This window comes from Homo sapiens, chromosome 6, assembly GCF_000001405.40.
Source record: "Homo sapiens chromosome 6, GRCh38.p14 Primary Assembly".
NCBI classification, from domain to species: Eukaryota; Metazoa; Chordata; class Mammalia; order Primates; family Hominidae; genus Homo; species Homo sapiens.
This window is the reverse complement of record NC_000006.12, coordinates 53,757,999-53,778,106: the sequence shown is the minus strand read 5'-3', so window position 1 is coordinate 53,778,106 and position 20,108 is coordinate 53,757,999. Positions and strand designations below refer to the sequence as shown.

The following is a 20,108-nucleotide window of genomic DNA, read 5'->3' as shown; positions in this document are numbered from 1 at the left end:
GTCTTGTGCAAGTTTTCAAAGGGAATGCTTCCAGTTTTTGCCCATTCAGAATGATATTGGCTGTGGGTTTCTCATAGATAGCTCTTATTATTTTGAGATACGTCCCATCAATACCTAATTTATTGAGAGGTTTTAGCATGAAGCGCTGTTGAATTTTGTCAGAGGCCTTTTCTGCATCTATTGAGATAATCGTGGTTTTTGTCATTGGTTCTGTTTATATGCTGGATTATGTTTATTGATTTGCATATGTTGAACCAGCCTTGCATCCCAGGGATGAAGCCCACTTGATCATGGTGGATAAGCTTTTTGATGTGCTGCTGGATTCGATTTGCCAGTATTTTATTGAGGATTTTTGCATCAATGTTCATCAGGGATATTGGTCTAAAATTCTCTTTTTTTGTTGTGTCTCTGCCAGGCTTTGGTATCAGGATGATGCTGGCCTCATAAAATGAGTTAGGGAGGATTCCCTCTTTTTCTATTGATTGGAATAGTTTCAGAAGGAATGGTACCAGCTCCTCCTTGTACCTCTGGTAGAATTCTGCTGTGAATCCATCTGGTCCTGGACTTTTTTTGGTTGGTAAGCTATTGATTATTGCCTCAATTTCAGAGCCTGTTATTGGTCTATTCAGAGATTCAACTTCTTCCTGGTTTAGTCTTGGGAGGGTGTATGTGTCAAGGAATTTATCCATTTCTTCTAGATTTTCTAGTTTATTTGCATAGAGGTGTTTATAGTATTGTCTGATGGTAGTTTGTATTTCTGTGGGATCGGTGGTGATATCCCTTTTATCATTATTTATTGCGTCTATTTGATTCTTCTCCCTTTTCTTCATTAGTCTTGCTAGTGGTCTATCAATTTTGTTGATCTTTTCAAAAAACCAGCTCCTGGATTCATTGATTTTTTGAAAGGTTTTTTGTGTCTCTATTTCCTTCAGTTCTGCTCTGATCTTAGTTATTTCTTGCCTTCTGCTAGCTTTTGAATGTGTTTGCTCTTGCTTCTCTAGTTCTTTTAATTGTGATGTTAGGGTGTTAATTTTAGATCTTTCCTGCTTTCTCTTGTGGGCATTTAGTGCTATACATTTCCCTCTACACACTGCTTTGAATGTGTCCCAGAGTTTCTTGTATGTTTTGTCTTTGTTCTTGTTGGTTTCAAAGAACATATTTATTTCTGCCTTCATTTTGTTATGTAACCAGTAGTCATTCAGGAGCAGGTTGTTCAGTTTCCATATAGTTGAGCAGTTTTGAGTGAGATTCTTAATCCTGAGTTCTAGTTTGATTGCACTGTGGTCTGAGAGATAGTTGGTTATAATTTCTGTTCTTTTACATTTGCTGAGGAGTGCTTTACCTCCAACTATGTGGTCAGTTTTGGAATAAGTGCGGTGTGGTGCTGAGAAGAATGTATATTCTGTTGATTTGGGGTGGAGAGTTCTGTAGATGTCTATTAGGTCTGCTTGGTGCAGAGCTGAGTTCAATTCCTGGATATCCTTGTTAACTTTCTGTCTCATTGATCTGTTTCATGTTGACAGTGGGGGCGTTAAAGTCTCCCATTATTATTGTGTGGGAGTCTAAGTCTCCTTGTAGGTCTCTAAGGACTTGCTTTATGAATCTGGGTGCTCCTGTATTGGGTGCATATATATTTAGGATAGTTAGCTCTTCTTGTTGAATTGATCCGTTTACCATTATGTAATGGCCTTCTTTGTCTCTTTTGATCTTTGTTGGTTTAAAGTCTGTTTTATCAGAGACTAGGATTGCAACACCTGCTTCTTTTTGTTTTCCATTTGCTTGGTAGATCTTCCTCCATCCCTTTATTTTGAGCCTATGTGTGTCTCTGCACGTGAGATGGGTTTCCTGAATACAGCACACTGATGGGTCTTGACTCTTTATCCAATTTGCCAGTCTGTGTCTTTTAATTGGAGCATTTAGCCCATTTACATTTAAAGTTAATATTGTTATGTGGAATTTGATCCTGTCATTATGATGTTAGCTGCTTATTTTTCCCATTAGTTGATGCAGTTTCTTCCTAGCCTCCATGGTCTTTACAATTTGGCATGTTTTTGCAGTGGCTGGTACCGGTTGTTCCTTTCCATGTTTAGTGCTTCCTTCAGGAGCTCTTTTAGGGCAGGCCTGGTGGTGACAAAATCTCTCAGCATTTGCTTGTCTGTGAAGGATTTTATTTCACCTTCATTTATGAAGCTTAGCTTGACTGGATATGAAATTCTGGGTTGAAAATTCTTTTCTTTAAGAATGTTGAATATTGGCCCCCACTCTCTTCTGGCTTGTAGAGTTTCTGCCGAGAGACCAGCTGTTAGTCTGATGGGCTTCCCTTTGAGGGTAACCCGACCTTTCTCTCTGGCTGCCCTTAACATTTTTTCCTTCATTTCAACTTTGGTGAATCTGACAATTATGTGTCTTGGAGTTGCTCTTCTCGAGGAGTATCTCTGTGGTGTTCTCTGTATTTTCTGAATTTGAATGTTGGCCTGCCTTGCTAGATTGGGGAAGTTCTCCTGGATAATATCCTGCAGAGTGTTTTCCAACTTGGTTTCATTCTCCCTTTCACTTTCAGGTACACCAATCAGATGTAGATTTGGTCTTTTCACATAGTTCCATATTTCTTGGAGGCTTTTTTCATTTCTTTTTATTCTTTTTTCTCTAAACTTCTCTTCTCGCTTCATTTCATTCATTTCATCTTCCATCACTGATACCCTTTCTTCCAGTTGATCGAATCAGCTACTGAGCCTTGTGCACTTGTCACGTAGTTCTCGTGCCTTGGTTTTCAGCTCCATCAGGTCCTTTAAGGACTTCTCTGCATTGGTTATTCTCATTAGCCATTTGTCTAATTTTTTTTCAAGGTTTTTAACTTCTTTGCCATGGGTTTGAACTTCCTCCTTTAGCTTGGAGTAGTTTGATCATCTGAAGCCTTCTTCTCTCAACTAGTCAAAGTCATTCTCCGTCCAGTTTTGTTCCATTGCTGGTGAGGAGCTGCATTCCTTTGGAGGAGGAGAGGCACTCTGATTTTTAGAGTTTCCAGTTTTTCTGCTCTGTTTTTTCCCCATCTTTGTGGTTTTATCTACCTTTGGTCTTTGATGATGGTGACGTGCAGATGAGGTTTTGGTGTGGATGTCCTTTCTGTTTGTGAGTTTTCCTTCTAACAGTCAGGACCCTCAGCTGCAGGTCTGTTGGAGTTTGCTGGAAGTCTACTCCAGACCCTGTTTGCCTGGGTATCAGCAGTGGAGGCTGCAGAACAGCAGATATTGGTGAACAGCAAATGTTGCTGCCTGATCGTTCCTGTGGAAGTTTTGTCTCAGAGGAGTACCTGGCCATGTGAGGTGTCAGTCTGCCCCCACTGGGGAGTGCCTCCCAGTTAGGCTACTCGGGGGTCAGGTACCCACTTGAGGAGGCAGTCTGTCCGTTCTCAGATCTCCAGCTGCGTGCTGGGAGAACCACTACTCTCTTCAAAGCTGTCAGACAGGGACATTTAAGTCTGCAGAGGATTCTGCTGCCTTTTGTTTGGCTATGCCCTGCCCCCAGAGGTGGAGTCTGCAGAGGCAGGCAGGCCTCCTTGAGCTGTGGTGGGCTCCACCCAGTTCGAGCTTCCCGGCTGCTTCGTTTACCTACTCAAGCCTTGGCAATGGCAGGCGCCCCTCCCCAAGCTGTGCTGCCGCCTTGCAGTTTGATCTCAGACTGCTGTGCTAGCAATGAGCGAGGCTCCTTGGGTGTAGGACCCTCCGAGCCATGTGCGGGATATAATCTCCTGGTGTGCAGTTTGCTAAGACTGTTGGAAAAGTGCAGTATTAAGGTGGGAGTGACCCAATTTACCAGGTGCCATCAGTCACCACTTTCTTTGACTAGGAAAGGGAATTCCCTGACCCCTTGCGCTACCCGGGTGAGGCAATGCCTCGCCCTGCTTCGGCTCACGTTTGGTGCACTGCACCCACTGTCCTGCACCCACTTTCCAACACTCCCCATTGAGATGAACCTGGTACCTCAGTTGGAAATGCAGAAATCACCCGTCTTCTGCGTCGCTCACGCTGGGAGCTGTAGACTGGAGCTGTTCCTATTCGGCCATCTGATACCAGTTTTAATCTTTCTGAGACATGCTGTATCACAAGAATTGGGGGAAAATTACATTAAAAGTACAAAGTCAAATTCATTTACCTCAGAATATATATTCATCTGTCCATAGTCCCTTATCTTCCTTTTTATGTATATTCATCTGGCTCCTTATTTCTTTCTACTGAGAAAGAATGATGCAAAAGCAGAATTTGTTGAGGATGGAAAGTTATAGATACTCTATTTCTCTAATAAAATGGATTCTCAGTAATTCATAGAAATAGAAGAACATGAACTATCATACCTCTATTGTTGGATCTAATATATATATATATATATGTATATAACCTGCTTGGAGATATATATATATACACAGTATATTTAATAATTGTAAAATATTAAATTATTTTTACAATTTAATTTAATTTAAAAAACTAAAAAATAATTGTAAAATAAAAATTTAATTTAATTTAAAAAATTAAAAAATAATTGTAAAATAAAAATTTAATGTATATTTAAATATGTTTTGCTACTTATATCTTACATACTTTAGTAGTTATATAATCTTTATTATCAACCTGAATGGATATAAATATCAAACTTGATCAATTTCATCCCCTTTAGGGGATGCAGCTAGGCATCTAGTTGCAACTAGAAGCTAATGCAACCAGGCAGTGCCATAACTAAAGGCAGCCAGCAAGAGAAAGGGGAAAAAAGAGAGAAGATAAGTCATAGGCAGGACATTTTGCTCTGGGGAGATAATTGGAGCACACTGTGGCTTAGTTGGGAATAACAAACAAGTTGCCCTTTCAGTAAGGGCTGAAAGTGGTATTTTTATTTCTCCATGACTTTCTACCTGACCTTTGGTGCTCCCTGAGGAAGGAAGCTGGGTGTGTGTGTGTCTACAGACCAAAGAAAAGAAAGTGTAAAATGTACCAAGGGGACAGCCTTAGAAGAAATAGTTTTTAAAAAAATGAATCAAAGAAAAAATGTAGTTTTACATAGAATAGGAATGGAAAGATAGTATGATAACTTCTAAGTCTATGCAAAAGAAATCATTATCACCATTATCATTATTTTTTAGATTGTGTTGAACTCTATTACTGGTATAGCATGTTACCCAGTTTAGTAATATTTATGGTCTCAAGGTGAGTAAGTCAGTCCCTTTTATAAAGGCAAGACTAAGTTTTCTATAAAAGGTAATGAGATGATGGCCAGGCATGGTGGCTCACGCCTGTAACCCCGGCTCTTTGGAAGGCCGGGGTGGATCACCTGAGGTCAGGAGTTCAAGAGCAGCCTGGCCAACATGGTGAAAACCCGTCTCTACTAAAAGTACAAAAATTAGCTGGATATGGTGGCATGTGCCTGTAATCCTAACTACTGGGGAGGCTCAGGCACAAGAATCGCTTAAACCCAGGAGGCGGAGGCTGCAGTGAGCCGAGATCATGCCACTGCACTCCAGGCTGGGCAACAGAGTGAGACTCTGTCTCAAAAAAAAAAGAGGTTATAAAATGAGGTTGGCTGGCTCATAATCCTCAGGTTAGCTCTGTAAGACTATTTAAACCATGTGGTATAGGCAGACTCTAAAATGGTCCCAGTGATCTCCACCTCTTGGTATTTGTGCTCTTGTAGTATTCCCTCCCCTTGAGTGTTGGCCAGACTTATTGACTCACTTCTAATGAATAAAATACAGTAAGAGTCATGGGCTGTCACTCTCAAGATCAAATTATAAAAAGGCTATGGTTTCCATCTTGGGTGCTGTCTCTCACTCTCTCTTGGGTTGCTTGCTCTGGGGAAAGCCAGCTGCCATGTCCTGAGATAGCCCTATAGAGAAGCCCACAGGAGTAAGCTTAGAGCAGATTGTTATAATCTGGGTATGGTTTGCTTGTCCCCACCAAGTCTCATGTTGAAATTTGATCCCCAGTGTTGGAGATGGGGCTTGGCAGAAGGTGTTTGGATTGTAGGAGCAAATCCCTTAGGAGATGGGGCTTGGCAGAAGGTGTTTGGATTGTAGGAGCAAATCCCTTATGAATGGCTTTGTGCCATTCTCACAGGAGTGAGAGAATTCTCACTGTTAGTTCCCACAGAACTGATTGTTGAAAAGAGCCTGGCACCTCCTCTGTCTCACTTTCTGTCTCCCCGTGTGATTTGCACACATTGGCTCCTCTTCCCCTTCCTCCATGAGTGAAAGCAGCTTGAGGCCCTCAACAGATGCAGAGCCATGAGCCAAAAACAAACAAACAAACAAAAAACTTTTATTTATAAATTACCCAGCTTCAGTTATTCCTTTATAGCAAAAATGGACTAAGACACAGATCTCCTAAAGCATCTCAGCAGCAATGTCAGTGAACTTGGAAGCAAATTTTCCCCCCAGTTGAGCCTTGAGATGACTGTAGCTCCGGCTGACATTTTGACTGTAACCTCATAAGAGATCAACCTAAAACTACCCAGCTAAGATGGTCCCAGATCTCTGGCCCAGAGAAAATTTGAGATAATAAGTGTTTGTGTTTTAAGCTGCTAAGTTTGGGTAATTTGTTGAGCAGTAATAGAAAACTAATGCAAACCATAGTAGGTAACATGTAATATAGCTGAAATGCTGTGTAAGATGTAGTGGGAGAATCAGAGTCAAGGTGGGCAGGAGAGAGATGAAAAGTACTCACTGAGCACCTATGTTGTCTGAGACACTATGCCAGGCCCTTTACAGACATATCTTAGCTTATTCCTATTACACCACTACACGAGTATCATTATCTTCATGCTACACATGAGTATGCTAAGATTCAGAAGGGTTAAATAATTTCCCCATCATGACACAGCTAGTAAGTAGCAGATGCCAGCTTTTGAACTCTGGTCTGTCTAAACCTGAAGCTCCTACTTCTATTACAACCCTGATTGCAATGAAAAGGGAATCAAATAGTTTATAACACTGGTAATGAGTGAAAATGTACCCAGCTGAACTTTTCAGATGCATACCAAACATTTTATGTGATAAGAGCTGAAGTAGTGTATGAGCAGAGTGCTATAGGAGTGTGAAGAAAGCAACATCTCATTCTGCTCGTAATGTGTGAGGGGATGGAGGAGAAACCCCACAGAGAGAATTATACTGGAAATTAGCAATTCAGCTTCCCTGTTACCCCTGGGAGAAGTCAAGATCTGGAATCAGATTGACATGAGTTCAGACCAGTTACCAGCTCTGTGGCCTGGGCAAGTTACTTCTTGCACCATCCTTTTCTTATCTGTACTGATTATGTTAGGCAATGCACATAATTGCTTGGCGGAGTCAGGTATATAGCGAGCACTTAATAGACATTCACAGTCAATAATACTATTGTTACTGTTTTCTCTCCAAAATTGATTCTCTTGATAAATGTGTAATTACTAACACTATTTTTTAATGTTCATCACTCAGTGATATTTTTTAGGGGAGGAACAAATATTCCCCTATTATAATTAGGCAAAAGTTGAGGGAAAAAAAAAGGAGACAGAGAATATAAGAAAAGGAAAAAGGGGTAAAAACAAAAGTTCAGTGTTTGTTAGATAAGATTGTCTGAGGCAAATGAACAGGCCTGGGAGCGGAGGCAGGGAAAGAGTCTAGCATGTGGACTTTCTGTAGAGAGCAAAGACTGTATATTTTATTCATATTCAGGTTGCCAAGAACAGTATCAGATTCACAATCATTCATTGAAAATCCAATGAACTCATTCATTCTTCCATTCAGCAAATATTAACTAAAATCCACTATGTGCTATCATGCTTCCATGAGGGTAGCATTGCAGAGCTTATGTTCTAACAAGGCAAGACAAGCAATCAAACACGATATACAAAATAAAGCTACATATGTAAAGTGTGAATATGTTTGGAATATGATAACCACCAGGAAGATGTTAAAGCAGAAAAATGGGCTGGAAAAACAGAGGAAGATGGTGTGCTGCTTTAGCTAATGTGATCAGGAGAGCCCTAGTTGAGGGAAGAGCAAGATGCTGGAGAAAGCATGCCCCTCTCTAGCGCCCTTCCCTGGCCCTGGCCAGAAGCTATAGCTTACTCAACCATGTGTTGAATTGAGGGAGAGGAAAAGAACGGGAAAATTTGGTGTTGGTTAGTTTAAGAGTATCTCATCAATTAACTTCTGAAATGTAAAGGCTATGATTTCTTTTGCAGACAGTTAAGCAAAATAATCATTTATAATGAAGAAAGAGTATGCTTTACTTATCTACGCAGGATTCCAAACATGTAGTTCTTCATCCACATTGATCTGTAGTCCCCCTGTATTGTTGAAAGGGCTGTCTGGGACTATAGGGAGGCAACTGAGGAGCCTAGGTTGTACTTGGATGACCCTTAGAGGGAGTGCCTCCTTAAATTTTGTGCCCTTGGAACCTGACTTGCCTCACTTTAGTCTCAGCCCTGATTGATTGGTTGGTTGGTTCTGTTGGTTGGTTGAGTTTTGCTTTTGCATTGTAATTACTTTTTTTAAATATGTGCCTATTTAAAATGTCAATCAATTAAAAAAATTAAGAAAAAAGTAATAAAGCATCCCAATTCCTACCATACAGAAAAAGCCAGCATTAGCAATTAGCAAACATCATTATGGACATCTTTCTGTGCATATATACAGACAGAAGTTTGATAAATATATGAACAATGTAGTCAAAGAGACTGCATTGGGTTAGTGGCTGGAATTTATGTACCCCTGTCTCTGGGCACTCACCTTGGAACCTTGGAAATCAGCATCTGGAAGCCATTCCAGAGTCTGATCTCTTCCCTAGATGTGCTCCCTTCCCCAAAACTCTGTCCCACTAGACATATTTCCCCCATTCTTAGCTTCTTACCTATAATCCTTTACCACCTACTTGAAAAGCATTGAGGCAACATTGTCAACAATTTGGGGTATTTTCTGGTGTGAAGGAAGAAAGAGAAGGTACCTATCGTTTCCTGACCCTAAGGTCCCTGATGTTTCATACACTCTCCATGTATTAGGCTCTTGTCTCTTCTGTCTCATGTAGGAATAAATACTATCCTTAATTTCTTTATCTTTTAACATTAATTTCTTTATCGTTTTATGTTTCTAACAGACTATAATTCTGCAATGCTATACATTTTACAATGTATTTATAGGCAACCAAGAGAAATTGCACATCTTACTCAAAAATATTTGTACCCTGACTCAGTACTTCTTGGTGAGAACAGTTCACAGCTAGTGGAGGGGAGCAAAGTGAACTCATTCCACTGGGCTCATTAAACATCTGCAGGGTCACTCTATTGCTGGCTCACCTAGAACAACTGTCTGCTTAAAAGCTGTCACATCCACCCACCCTTTGTGCTTTGTGTTAAAGCAATTCGCAGAGTGACAGAAACTTTTCAGTTTTTTTCTTTCCCTTTTTCCCAGGGAAATTGTTGGCAATTACAGCCTTTACTTGACAAGGTCCTTTTGACACAGCGTGGCTGAAGGCAGTTGCCTCCAGGAGGGCTCAGTTGTTTTAGAAAGAGGGTGACAGTTACCTCCTTCCATTTCTCCTGACTGCCACTTTTATTGAAACTTTTCCAGGACTTTGGGGGTGGTTATTTCTTCTTGTACCATCATGACAACTTCCTTTTCTCACCATGGGTGCTGTTGCAGATAATTAAGCTCTGCATGCCAAAATAAAGACAGAAGTGGTGAGTACATTGCCATCAGTGGAATGCCACCAACTCTATCCCTATGAAATTTAGAGAAACTCCATTTTGATTTTTATTTTTGTTTGTTTTTAGCAGAATTCAGTTCATATACCCATGAAGTGTTCCAGTTTAGCAACTAGAAGACAGGTTTGAACCACCCTGGCTGTGTCTCTAAGTCAAGGGTTTTCAACCTTGGCACTATAAGCATTTTGGACTGGATGACTCTTGGGGAGTGGAGGTGTCCCGTGCATTGCAGGATGCTTGGCAGCGCTCCTGCCTCTACCCGCTAAATGCCAGTAACACCTGTCCTCCAGTTGCCAAGTTGTGACAATCAAAAATATCTCCAGATATTACCATATGTCCTCTGGGCTGGAGTGGGCGGGGGAGGGGGGAGCAAAACTGTCCCAGTTGAGATTCACTGCTCAAATTGAGAAAGTATTGACATGGATTGTGTTCAATTTGTAGCATACAAATTTTATTGTTTCATTCTTTCCTTTGAAAGTCTCACAATGTCTCTGCCTTACTTACATAAATGTATAATAGAAATAAAAGTTTTTAATCTAAATTATTTTTCTAAAGGGTTATCCAAAGTGATTCCCAATGAGTTTAATCAACTAAAGGGGACATGGAGAAGAGAATGCCTTTATTCTGTATAATAAACTAAACAATGCCAATTATCCCACAGTGGATGCCTTTAAAATGCCAGAAACAAATTGAGAAAAAATAAAAATTTGTGCCATTATGCCGTAATACTCACATTCTGTTAATTTGCTTTGAAGAGTAAAATATTTTTGGAAACCTTAGTTTAACAATAGTAAAATATTTTGGAAACCTAAATTTAATAGCAATTTGACTACCATTAAAACTAGCTTATTTTAGAGATTCCCTCTAAAATGTTTATCCAAGGGCCTAAGATACTTCTTCAGTGATGGTTAGTGCTGTCTTCCAGGCAGCCTCAACACAACTTCACATTTGTAGCGGAGAACACTGAAACTCTTTGTGATAGAGCAATTTGACCAAATAAATACAGTGGCAGTATCAGGAAAGGTCTCCTGAGCCCTGATCCAATGCCTCTTTCCAGCTAATATGCTGTTTGCTTCAGAAATCTAGGGAGTGGCAACAAAGGCCTAGGCTTTTGGAAGAGGGGTGGGGTCCATGCCAAAAGGATAATGAGAGGAGAAGGGAAATGGTATAGAGCCTATCTTTGTCATTTTGCAATTTGGCTCAGGCTCACACTGTCCCATTCTCAGAAAGCAGTTTTATTTATATCTGAGAGTTCACTGTTGATGTCATTGTGTGTCTAGCACAGTGACTGGGACATAATCAGCATTCAACAAATATTTGACAGATAACTACTGTGCTACCAGTGCAGATGCTAAAAGATGGAGGAAGAGGAAGAGGAGGAGGAGAAGGATCTTTCAAATGCCAAAAGACAGTCCACAGGGGAGCAGTTCTGACTTTCTCTCAGCCTAGCAGTCAATACAAGTTTAGTTGCCTGAAGCTTCTCTTGTTTTGTCAAAGACTTTAAGGATCAAATAAAACTTGCAAGGGTATCTCAACATAAGCCAACACTGGAACCTAGAAAATTTAGCATCAGCTGCCATGTGTTTAACTACTATCTTAAACTGTCCTCAAAGCATAAAAGTTAATATAGGTTGATGCAGTTAGATCTGGCTTTGAATCCCAGCTCCACTGTATGAACTTGGGCCAGTTATATCACGATCTCAGTGTTCTCATTTATAAAATGAGGATAAAAACACCTACCTCATTGAGATGCCATTGGCATTGCAATAGATAACCTATAGCACATAGAAGCACATCTATAACATATACATATTAGTAACTATAATTATAATAACTATTATTCTCTGAGGTTAGGAGGGAGGGCATACAGAAAACGATGAGCACCTTGAGACCCAATCAGGACAACCAGACTAAAATAAACTCAACTCAAAGGGCAGAGCTGGATTCAGTAGGTCAATGATGGACACTGAAACTGGATTGATGTGTAGAGTATATGGCTTAAGTAGTGGAAGCTTTTACCATCATTAGGGATAAAGCAAATGTTAGGACTTGCCTATATATGGGCTGTGGGAAGAGGAGACAGTAAAACAAAGCAAAGAAGGAACAGGAGAGGAACCAGGGGTTTCAGCACCATAGAGGCGAGAGTTGCCAGTGGAAGGAAGCGGTCAAGGGGATCCACAGCTCTACAGGGGTCTTGGCAATTAGATGTCCCTGATTAGCTGGAAAGGAGATATTTTAGCACAAGTCAGTGGCAAAGGGTTGAATGATAGTTGGAGGTGAGGAAGTAGAAACTGAAGATGGCATGAGGAAACAGAGTGCCTCAAATAGGCAAGAAAATTGAAAGTACATAAATACTTTAGGATAAGAAAGACCTGAGTAATAGAAAGAACTTGAGAGAGGAGACCAGTGAAAAGGCAGGTAAGAGAAGATGCCATTGAAGGAAGCAGCAGTGGTGGAGCAAGTGTGAGTTCCAAGATGGAAGGCATGAGGATGGAAGGAGAAGACGAATTTAAAAAATTAAAATGCTGAAGAATTTGCTAAGGTGGACTGGAAGGAAACTGATGCTCACATGGAACATCTCCAAATTCAGAGTAAAGTCATGCTGGGGTTGTTTAGAAAGGGTGAGAGGCTGTGACTAGAAACTAATAGGGTAAATGCTGTAGGGAACGTAATAGAAAATCAAGAGAGCTGATTCAAGGATTGCTGACTTCAGTGAGTCCTCAGCCCAAGCCACTGAAGATTAACTTTAGATACTTTGCTTCAGACTCTGCACATTTGAGTGTAAACATAGCGGGTAGCCACAGGCCACTCCTTAGGAAAGAGGCAGAACACTCAGCTAGCCCACTGTGTCTTGCAGCCTACACCCTGTCTATTTGGATGCTTATAGCATGACCTCTAGCCGTACCAGGCTCTTCTAGATCCAAGCCCTGCTCACGCCCTGGTACTAAGTCTCAGGTATTTATGTGATTCCTGGAATGTTCCCTGTGGACTCAGTCTTCATCCTTTTGGTCTACAGCTGAAACTGCTCCTGGCCTGGTTCCTAAAAGGTCTGGCTGTGTTTTCATAAGACTGAGTTATTCTTTGAGTATTAGCTGCTTTTGACTGGCACCCATCAACAACACCTGTGTGGGCACTGGAGTTAACCTTTTAGGTGCTAAATAAATCTTCCAGCTTCCAAAGGATTTACTCCACATTTTTATATTATTTTAATCTCCAGACATTGGAGCAGGAGGACAAAAATCAGATGGTAAGAATTAGGCATGAGAATGGGCAAAGTAAAAACCAAGAAATGTATGTGGAGTCGTTGGTTTCTGGGATGCTACCATAAAATACTTGAAATAAGGGAAGCCAGAATATGGGTTATGGCCTAAAAGGAGAGAGAATGTCAGGATGAGGACAATGAATATGTTCAGTAAGATTTAGGAAATGTACCAGAAATAGCACAGGACTTAGAGTTTGGCAAACATGGGTTCAAATTCCAGTTGTATGACCATGGATAATATATTTTGCCTCTGTGAGCCTCAGATTTCTGTACAAATCAATTTGGATACTGAGTTAACCAAAATTATTAGTTTTCCTTTCCAGAAAATGAAATTAATAAAGTCTGTCTTGTACGGTTGTTGTGAAAATGAAATGAGAATGTATGCAAAACATCCAACCCACACCTCACACATAGTGGGTGCTCAAAAAATAGTGAATATTAATATTGCTACAAAAAGCAAGAATGATCAGAGGAGGGGATTCTGAAGGTCTTTGATCTTGGCCAATGTCAGTTTTGACTTTATTATACATTATGCATTTGGACTAATTAAATGTGAGGAAGAAGCTACTAAATACATGGTAAAGTCTCAGGTTACAAAATCAACGTACACAAATCGGTAGTACTGCTATACACCAACAACGGCCAAGCTGAGAATCAGATCAAGAACTCAACCCCTTTACAACAGCTGCAAAATAAAATAAAATACCTAGGAATATACTTAACCAAGGAAGTAAAAGATCTATACGAGGAGAACTACAAAACACTGCTGAAAGAAATCATAGATGGCAAAAACAAATGGAAACACATCCTATGCTCATGGATTGGGAGAATCAATAGTGTGAAAATGACCATACTGCTCAAAGCAATCTACAGATTCAGTGCATTTCCCATCAAAATATCAACATCATTGTTCCCAGAATTAGAAAAAGAATTCCTAAAATTCCTATGGAACCAAAAAAAGAGTCCACATAGCCAAAACAATACTAAACAGAGAAAACAAATCTAGAGACATCACATTACCAGACTTCAAATTATACTACAAGGCTATAGTTACCAAAATAGCATGGTACTAGTATAAAAGTAGGCACATAGACCAATAGAACAGAATAGAGAACCCAGAAATAAAGCCAAATACTTAAAACCAACTGATCTTCGACAAAGCATACAAAAACATAAATGGGGGAAAAGACACCCTATTTAATAGTGCTGGGAAAACTGGCTAGCCACATGTAGAAGAATGAAACTGGATCCCTATCTCTCACCTAACACAAAAATCAATTAAAGACAGATCAAAGACTTAAACCTAAGACCTGAAACCATAAAAATTCTAAAAGATAACTTCCGAAAAACTCTTTTAGACACTGACCAAGACAAAGAATTTATGACTAAATTCCCAAAAGTAAATACAACAAAAACAAAAATAAACAAATGAGATCTATTTAAACTAAAAAGCTCCTGCACAGTGAAAGAAATTGTCAACAGAGTAAAGAGATAACCCACAGAATGGGAGAAAATATTTGCAAACTGTGTGTATGGCAAAGGACTAGTATTGAGAATCCACAAGGAACTCAAACAAATTTGATTCAAATAAATCGGCAAGAAAAAAATGAAATAATTCCATCCAAAATGGGCAATGACATGAATAGACATTTCTCAAAAGAAGATATACAAATGGCCAAGAAACATGAAAAAAATGCTCAACATCACTAATCATCAGAGAAATGCAAATTAAAATCACAGTGAACTATCTCCTTACCCCAGTCAGAATGGCCATTATTAAAAAGTCAAAAAACAATAGATGTTGGTGTGCATGTGGTGAAAAGGGAATGCTTATACACTGCTTGTGGGAATGTGAATTAGTACAACCTCTATGGAAAACAGTATACAGATTTCTTAAAGAACTAAAAGTAGATCTACCATTTGGTCCAGCAGTCCCACTACCAGGTATCTACCCAAAGGAAAAGAAGTTATTATATTAAAGAGACGCATGCATATGTATGTTTATTGCAGCATAATTCACAATTGCAAAGATCTGGAACCAACCTAAGTGCCCATCAACCAATGAGTGGATAAGAAAATGTGATATTTGTGGAGAAATAGAAACACTTTTATACCGTTGATGGTAATGTAAATTAGTTCAACCATTGTGGAAGATGATGTGGCAATTCCTCAAAGAGCTAGAAGCAGAAATACCATTTGACCCAGCAATCCCATTACTTAGTATACACCCAAAGGAATATAACCCATTCTATTACAAAGATACATGGATGTGTATGTTCATTGCAGCACTAGTCACAATAGCAAAGACATGGAATCAACCCAAATGCCAATCGATGATAGAGTAGATAAAGAAAATGTGGTACATATACACCATGGGATAGTATGCAGCCATAAAAAAAATGAATGAGATCATGTCCTTTGCGGGGACATGGAGAGAGCTGGAAGCCATTATTCTCAGCAAACTAACACAGTAACAAAACAGAACACCGCATGTTCTTACTTACAGGTGGGAGCTCAACAATGAGAATAGATGGACACAGGGAGGGTAACAACACACTCTGGGGCCTGCTGGGGTGTGTGGTGGGAGAGGGAGAGCATAAGGAAAAACAGCTAATTCATGCTGGGCTTAATGCCTAGATGATGGGTTGATAGGTGCAGCAAACCACCGTGGCACATGTTTACCTATGTAACAAACCTGCACATGCTGCACATGTACCCCAAAACTTAAAATAAAAATAAAAATTAAACAAAGAAAATGTGATATATATACACCATGCAGTACTTCTCAGTCATAAAAGGAACAAAATAACGTCTTTTGCAGCACTTGGATGGAGCTGGAGACCATTATTCTAAGTGAAGTGACTCAGGAATGGAAAATCAAAAACTGCATACTCTCCCTTATAAGTGGGAGCTAAGCTATGAGTATACAAAGGCATACAGAGTGGTATAATGGGCTTTGGAGGCTTAGAAACAGGAGGTTGGGTGGGGGGTGAGGGATAAAAAACCACATATTGGGGGCCAGGCGCAGTGGCTCGCGCCTGTAATCCCAGCACTTTGGGAGGCCAAGGTGGGCAGATCACGAGGTCAGGAGATCGAGACCATCCTGGCTAACACGGTGAAACCCCATTTCTACTAAAAATACAAAAAATTAGCCAGGCATGGTGGTGGGTGCCTGTAGTCCCAGTTACTCGGGAGGCTGAGGCAGGAGAATTGCTTGAACCTGGGAGGCGGAGGTTGCAGTGAGCTGAGATCGCGCCACTGCACTCCAGCCTGGGTGACAGAGCCAGACTCCGTCTCAAAAAAAAAAAAAAAACACTACATATTGGGTACAAGGTACACTACTCAGGTAATGGGTGCACTGAAATCTCAGAATTCACTACTATATAATTCATCCATGTAACCAAAAACCACTTGTACCCCAAAAGCTATTGAAATAAAAAATATTTTTTAAAAGATGCCTATATTTCCACTACCTTGAGATAAATCAATTTGATCTTTTCTCTTGTGGAATTAATAATTAAGATACAAGTGATTAGAGATGGGATAGAAGCTACAAATACATGGAAAGGCACAGAGGCAGAGAAAGAACCACAATGTTGGCAGAGCACTAGAAAAGGGTTTAATAACTCTCATTGCTGAAGAAATTTAGATCCTCTCTGCTCAAAGTGTGGTCCAAGACCAGCAGCATCAGCATCACCATGAGCTTGTGGGAAATGCAGAATATCTGGTCAAACATTAGACTTACTGAATCATAATCTGCATTTTAACATGATCCCCAGGTAATTTGCACATTACAGTTTGGAAATCACTGGTCTGGATTCTCTTGAGGCCACAGCTGTGTTGGCTCCTGAAAAACCTTTGTGAGCCCTGATGGTGTGCTGTGTCTTCGGTATTTCCATGAGTTCTGGCCCAAATTCAAGAAGTTAATCATCTGAAGAGCTGAGAATCAAACAGGAATTTGACTCCTAGTCCATCAAGTTAACTGGCATATTATATTTCTAGTCCTTCTATCCAGGAGCACATTATATTTCTCCCCTAATTTAAGTCTTCTATTAGATATCTCAGTGTTGGTTTATTCTTCCTTTTTTTTTTTTTTTTTTTTTTTTTTTTGAGATAGGGTCTCACTGTGTGGCCCAGGCTGGAGTGCAGTGGTGTGATCTTGGCTCACTGCAACCTCCAACTCCTGGGTTCAAGCGATCCTCCTGCCTCAGTCTCCCAAGTAGCTGGGATTACAGGCGTTTTCCACCATGCCCAGCTGATTTTTGTATTTTTAGTTGAGACGGGGTTTCACCATGTGGGCCAAGCTGGGTTTTTTTCTTTTTTCTTTGAGACAGTATATTGCTCTGTTGCCCAGGCTGGAGTGCAGTGGCACAATCATGGCTCACTGAAGCTTCAACCTCCCAGGCTCAAGTGATTCTTCCACCTCAGCCTCCTGAGTAGCTGGGATCATGGGTCCACACCACCACATCTGGCTAATTTTTTTTTGTTTGTTTTGGTAGAGATGGAGTCTCACTCTGTTGCCCAGGCTGGTCTCAAACTCCTGGGGTCAAGAGATCCTCCTGCCTTGGCCTCCTAGAGTGCTGCAATTACAGGTGTAAGCCACCACACCTGGCCAAGTTTTACTACCTTTTCCTATAGACTTTACATATTTTAATAGAAATTTTTCATTTCTTTCCAAGCAGCTTTCAATGCTACTTTGAACTATTCTTTGTCCTTTGCACTATTTAAGATCATTCTTACAAATAGATCTCATGTTACCTTAAACAATTTATTTCTTCTCATTGTGCTTGATTATTGGCCTTTAGCATAGTAGGAAAATATAAGAGTCAAGTCCTCGAAAAGGTTACAGAGAAATTATAGAAAATGGATATACAGTGTCTGAAATGAAAGCTCAGAAGGTCTCCTTAGGTGGGAGACTCAGGGCTCAGGTAGATCAAGTTTTTTATCATAACTTTGCTAATCACTTTTGGATATGAGACTCAAAGACAATGTTGGTAGCTACTAGATCAGTGGTTTCTAAACTTTGCTGCACATTAGAATGATCTTAGAGCTTATAAACCTCCCCAGCCTTGCTCACATTGCACCCTTACCAATTAAGACAGCTGGCTGGGGATGGGGGCCAGGCATCAGTAGTTTTTAGAGATTCCCAGGTGATTCCAATATGTGGCAGAGATGAGAACCAACATAGTAAATGATGCATTACTTAATATAGCAATGATAAGCTCCTGGTTTAACTGTTGAATAAAACCATCATTGAGTTTGCCAACATTGAGTTTCTTTGCTTCAAGTGAGGCACATGTGTAAAGTATGTGATACTTATTCTTACTTTTTAGATTCTATTCTAATAGGTAATAGAATAAAATAATAAATCTTAATCTTATCTATTAGATCTTATTCTAATAGATAATAATTATTCTTTCTTTCTGTGTGTAAGAAAATGGAGAATTGGGGGCCCCACTCCAAAATTACTAGATCAGAATTTGCAGTGAAATAAGCTCCCCAGTTGATACTCTCACACATTAAGATTTGAGATGCTTGTCTCCCTCTCCCTCCAGGCTGTAACTCCTGGAAAGCCTGGACTACACCAGACCATCCTTGTTTCCCAGTGGGGCCTAATAGTGCCTTGCCAATGGAAGAGCTTAAGAATTGTTGACTGAGTTGAATCAATAGTGATTGTACTGCTGGCTCAATGTCAAAGGATAGGATGCTGAGGGTATTGTTAGTACCAAAGAGAGCATAAACATTTCTTAAATTGCCTCCAGAGCAGCTAGTCCTTGTTTAGGTGACAGGCTCCTTTGAGAATTTAATGAAAGCTAAGGGTCATTTTTCTGTCTTTACAAAATTCTGCATACAGGTGGTTCATAGATTCTCCAGACACCCATAACATGGATTCCCTATGTCCATGACAGATAAAATTTGAGTCTAAAGTAGTCACTGAAAACTTGAGTCATATATGCATCTTTCCATCATCTTCAGAACAGACAGAGAGTGAAGCAGGATATTTAAAAACTACTGATGACCGTTTAATTAAAAGGGCTAAACTGAAAATAGTTTTACAAGGACATGGCAAAGATATTTTTTAGGCTTTTACACACAAGTCTCAAAGAAGTGCTTTGACTAGCACTTTAGTTTTCTTCTTTCTTTTTACTGTGAATTTCTTTAGTAACTTCCTTTTAACTTTAAGTAAATCTATCATCTAGAATGACCATGAACTTTAATAGAAGAAGAAAATCATGACTATTACCACAAATACCCAGACCCAGTCTAAAATAGATCAGGCAGCCTGTATAGAAAAAAGAAATGGAAAAGTTTGCTTGCATGGGCTCCACACCCAGGCAATCAATTCAGTTATTGAGGCATAAAGCAGAAGGAGGAAAAAACATGATGTCAAATGCTACTGTAACATATGTGCCTGGGAGTGGGATTGGCAAAGGCTTATAAATTTGGCTTGGCCCACAAGCAGAATTTAGTTGAGATTGGCAGTAAAAACATTTTCTACAGTTTTGCTGCCTTTGGTGATTTGAATCACAATCTAACACGTAGGATTTGGGCAATAATCTTCTTATTTACATCTCATTTTATTCCATACACCATGTAAATTGTATTTTATGCATTTGTATGCCAAAAAAGAAAATAAAATTTTGAAAAAAAAGAATGAATAAAACAGGTCAAAGGAAAAATAAGCAGAAAAATGATGAGATAAAAGAGAAGTCAAAAACTGCATGCCATAGATTCTATGTATCTGAGATATGAGAGCCCTTCATTGCTAAGACATGAGGGCTACAATCTTGGCTGTTAAGATTTCTTACATCAAAAACAATTATTGTATTCCTAATTTCCTAAAATAAAAACAAGGCTATTACTCCTGTCACTGAGATTAAAGAGAAAGTGCCTCATGCATCATCATAAAGAGGACCTTTTTTAAAAAAAATTGAAAAAATATGCTCAACTTTTGTACAGACAAGAGCTTTGTAGGATTACAGCATCAAGTCATTGAAGCTGACTTCAATTACTTGACAATAAATTTCAAGGAAGAAGAGACAGCGCATGTTTATCTTATCCACTGCGAAAGTTGCCATGACACTGTCTCTCTTGAACCTGATTTTTGTAGGGACAGGTTTTA

The 20,108-nt window shown here is 39.7% G+C and overlaps 2 long non-coding RNA genes across 6 annotated transcripts in view; one reads left to right on the top strand and one right to left on the bottom strand.

The window, feature by feature from the left end:
- Positions 1 to 20,108, top strand: part of LOC124901333 (uncharacterized) — a 54,194-nt gene that overhangs the window by 15,569 nt on the left and 18,517 nt on the right. The window lies entirely within an intron of this gene.
- LOC124901334 (uncharacterized) overlaps positions 4,008 to 20,108 on the bottom strand; it is a 47,524-nt gene continuing 31,423 nt past the window's right edge. Inside the window, exon 3 of the long non-coding RNA XR_007059620.1 lies at positions 4,008 to 4,094. This is a non-coding gene — a long non-coding RNA (uncharacterized LOC124901334). The remainder of the gene's footprint in view (positions 4,095 to 20,108) is intronic.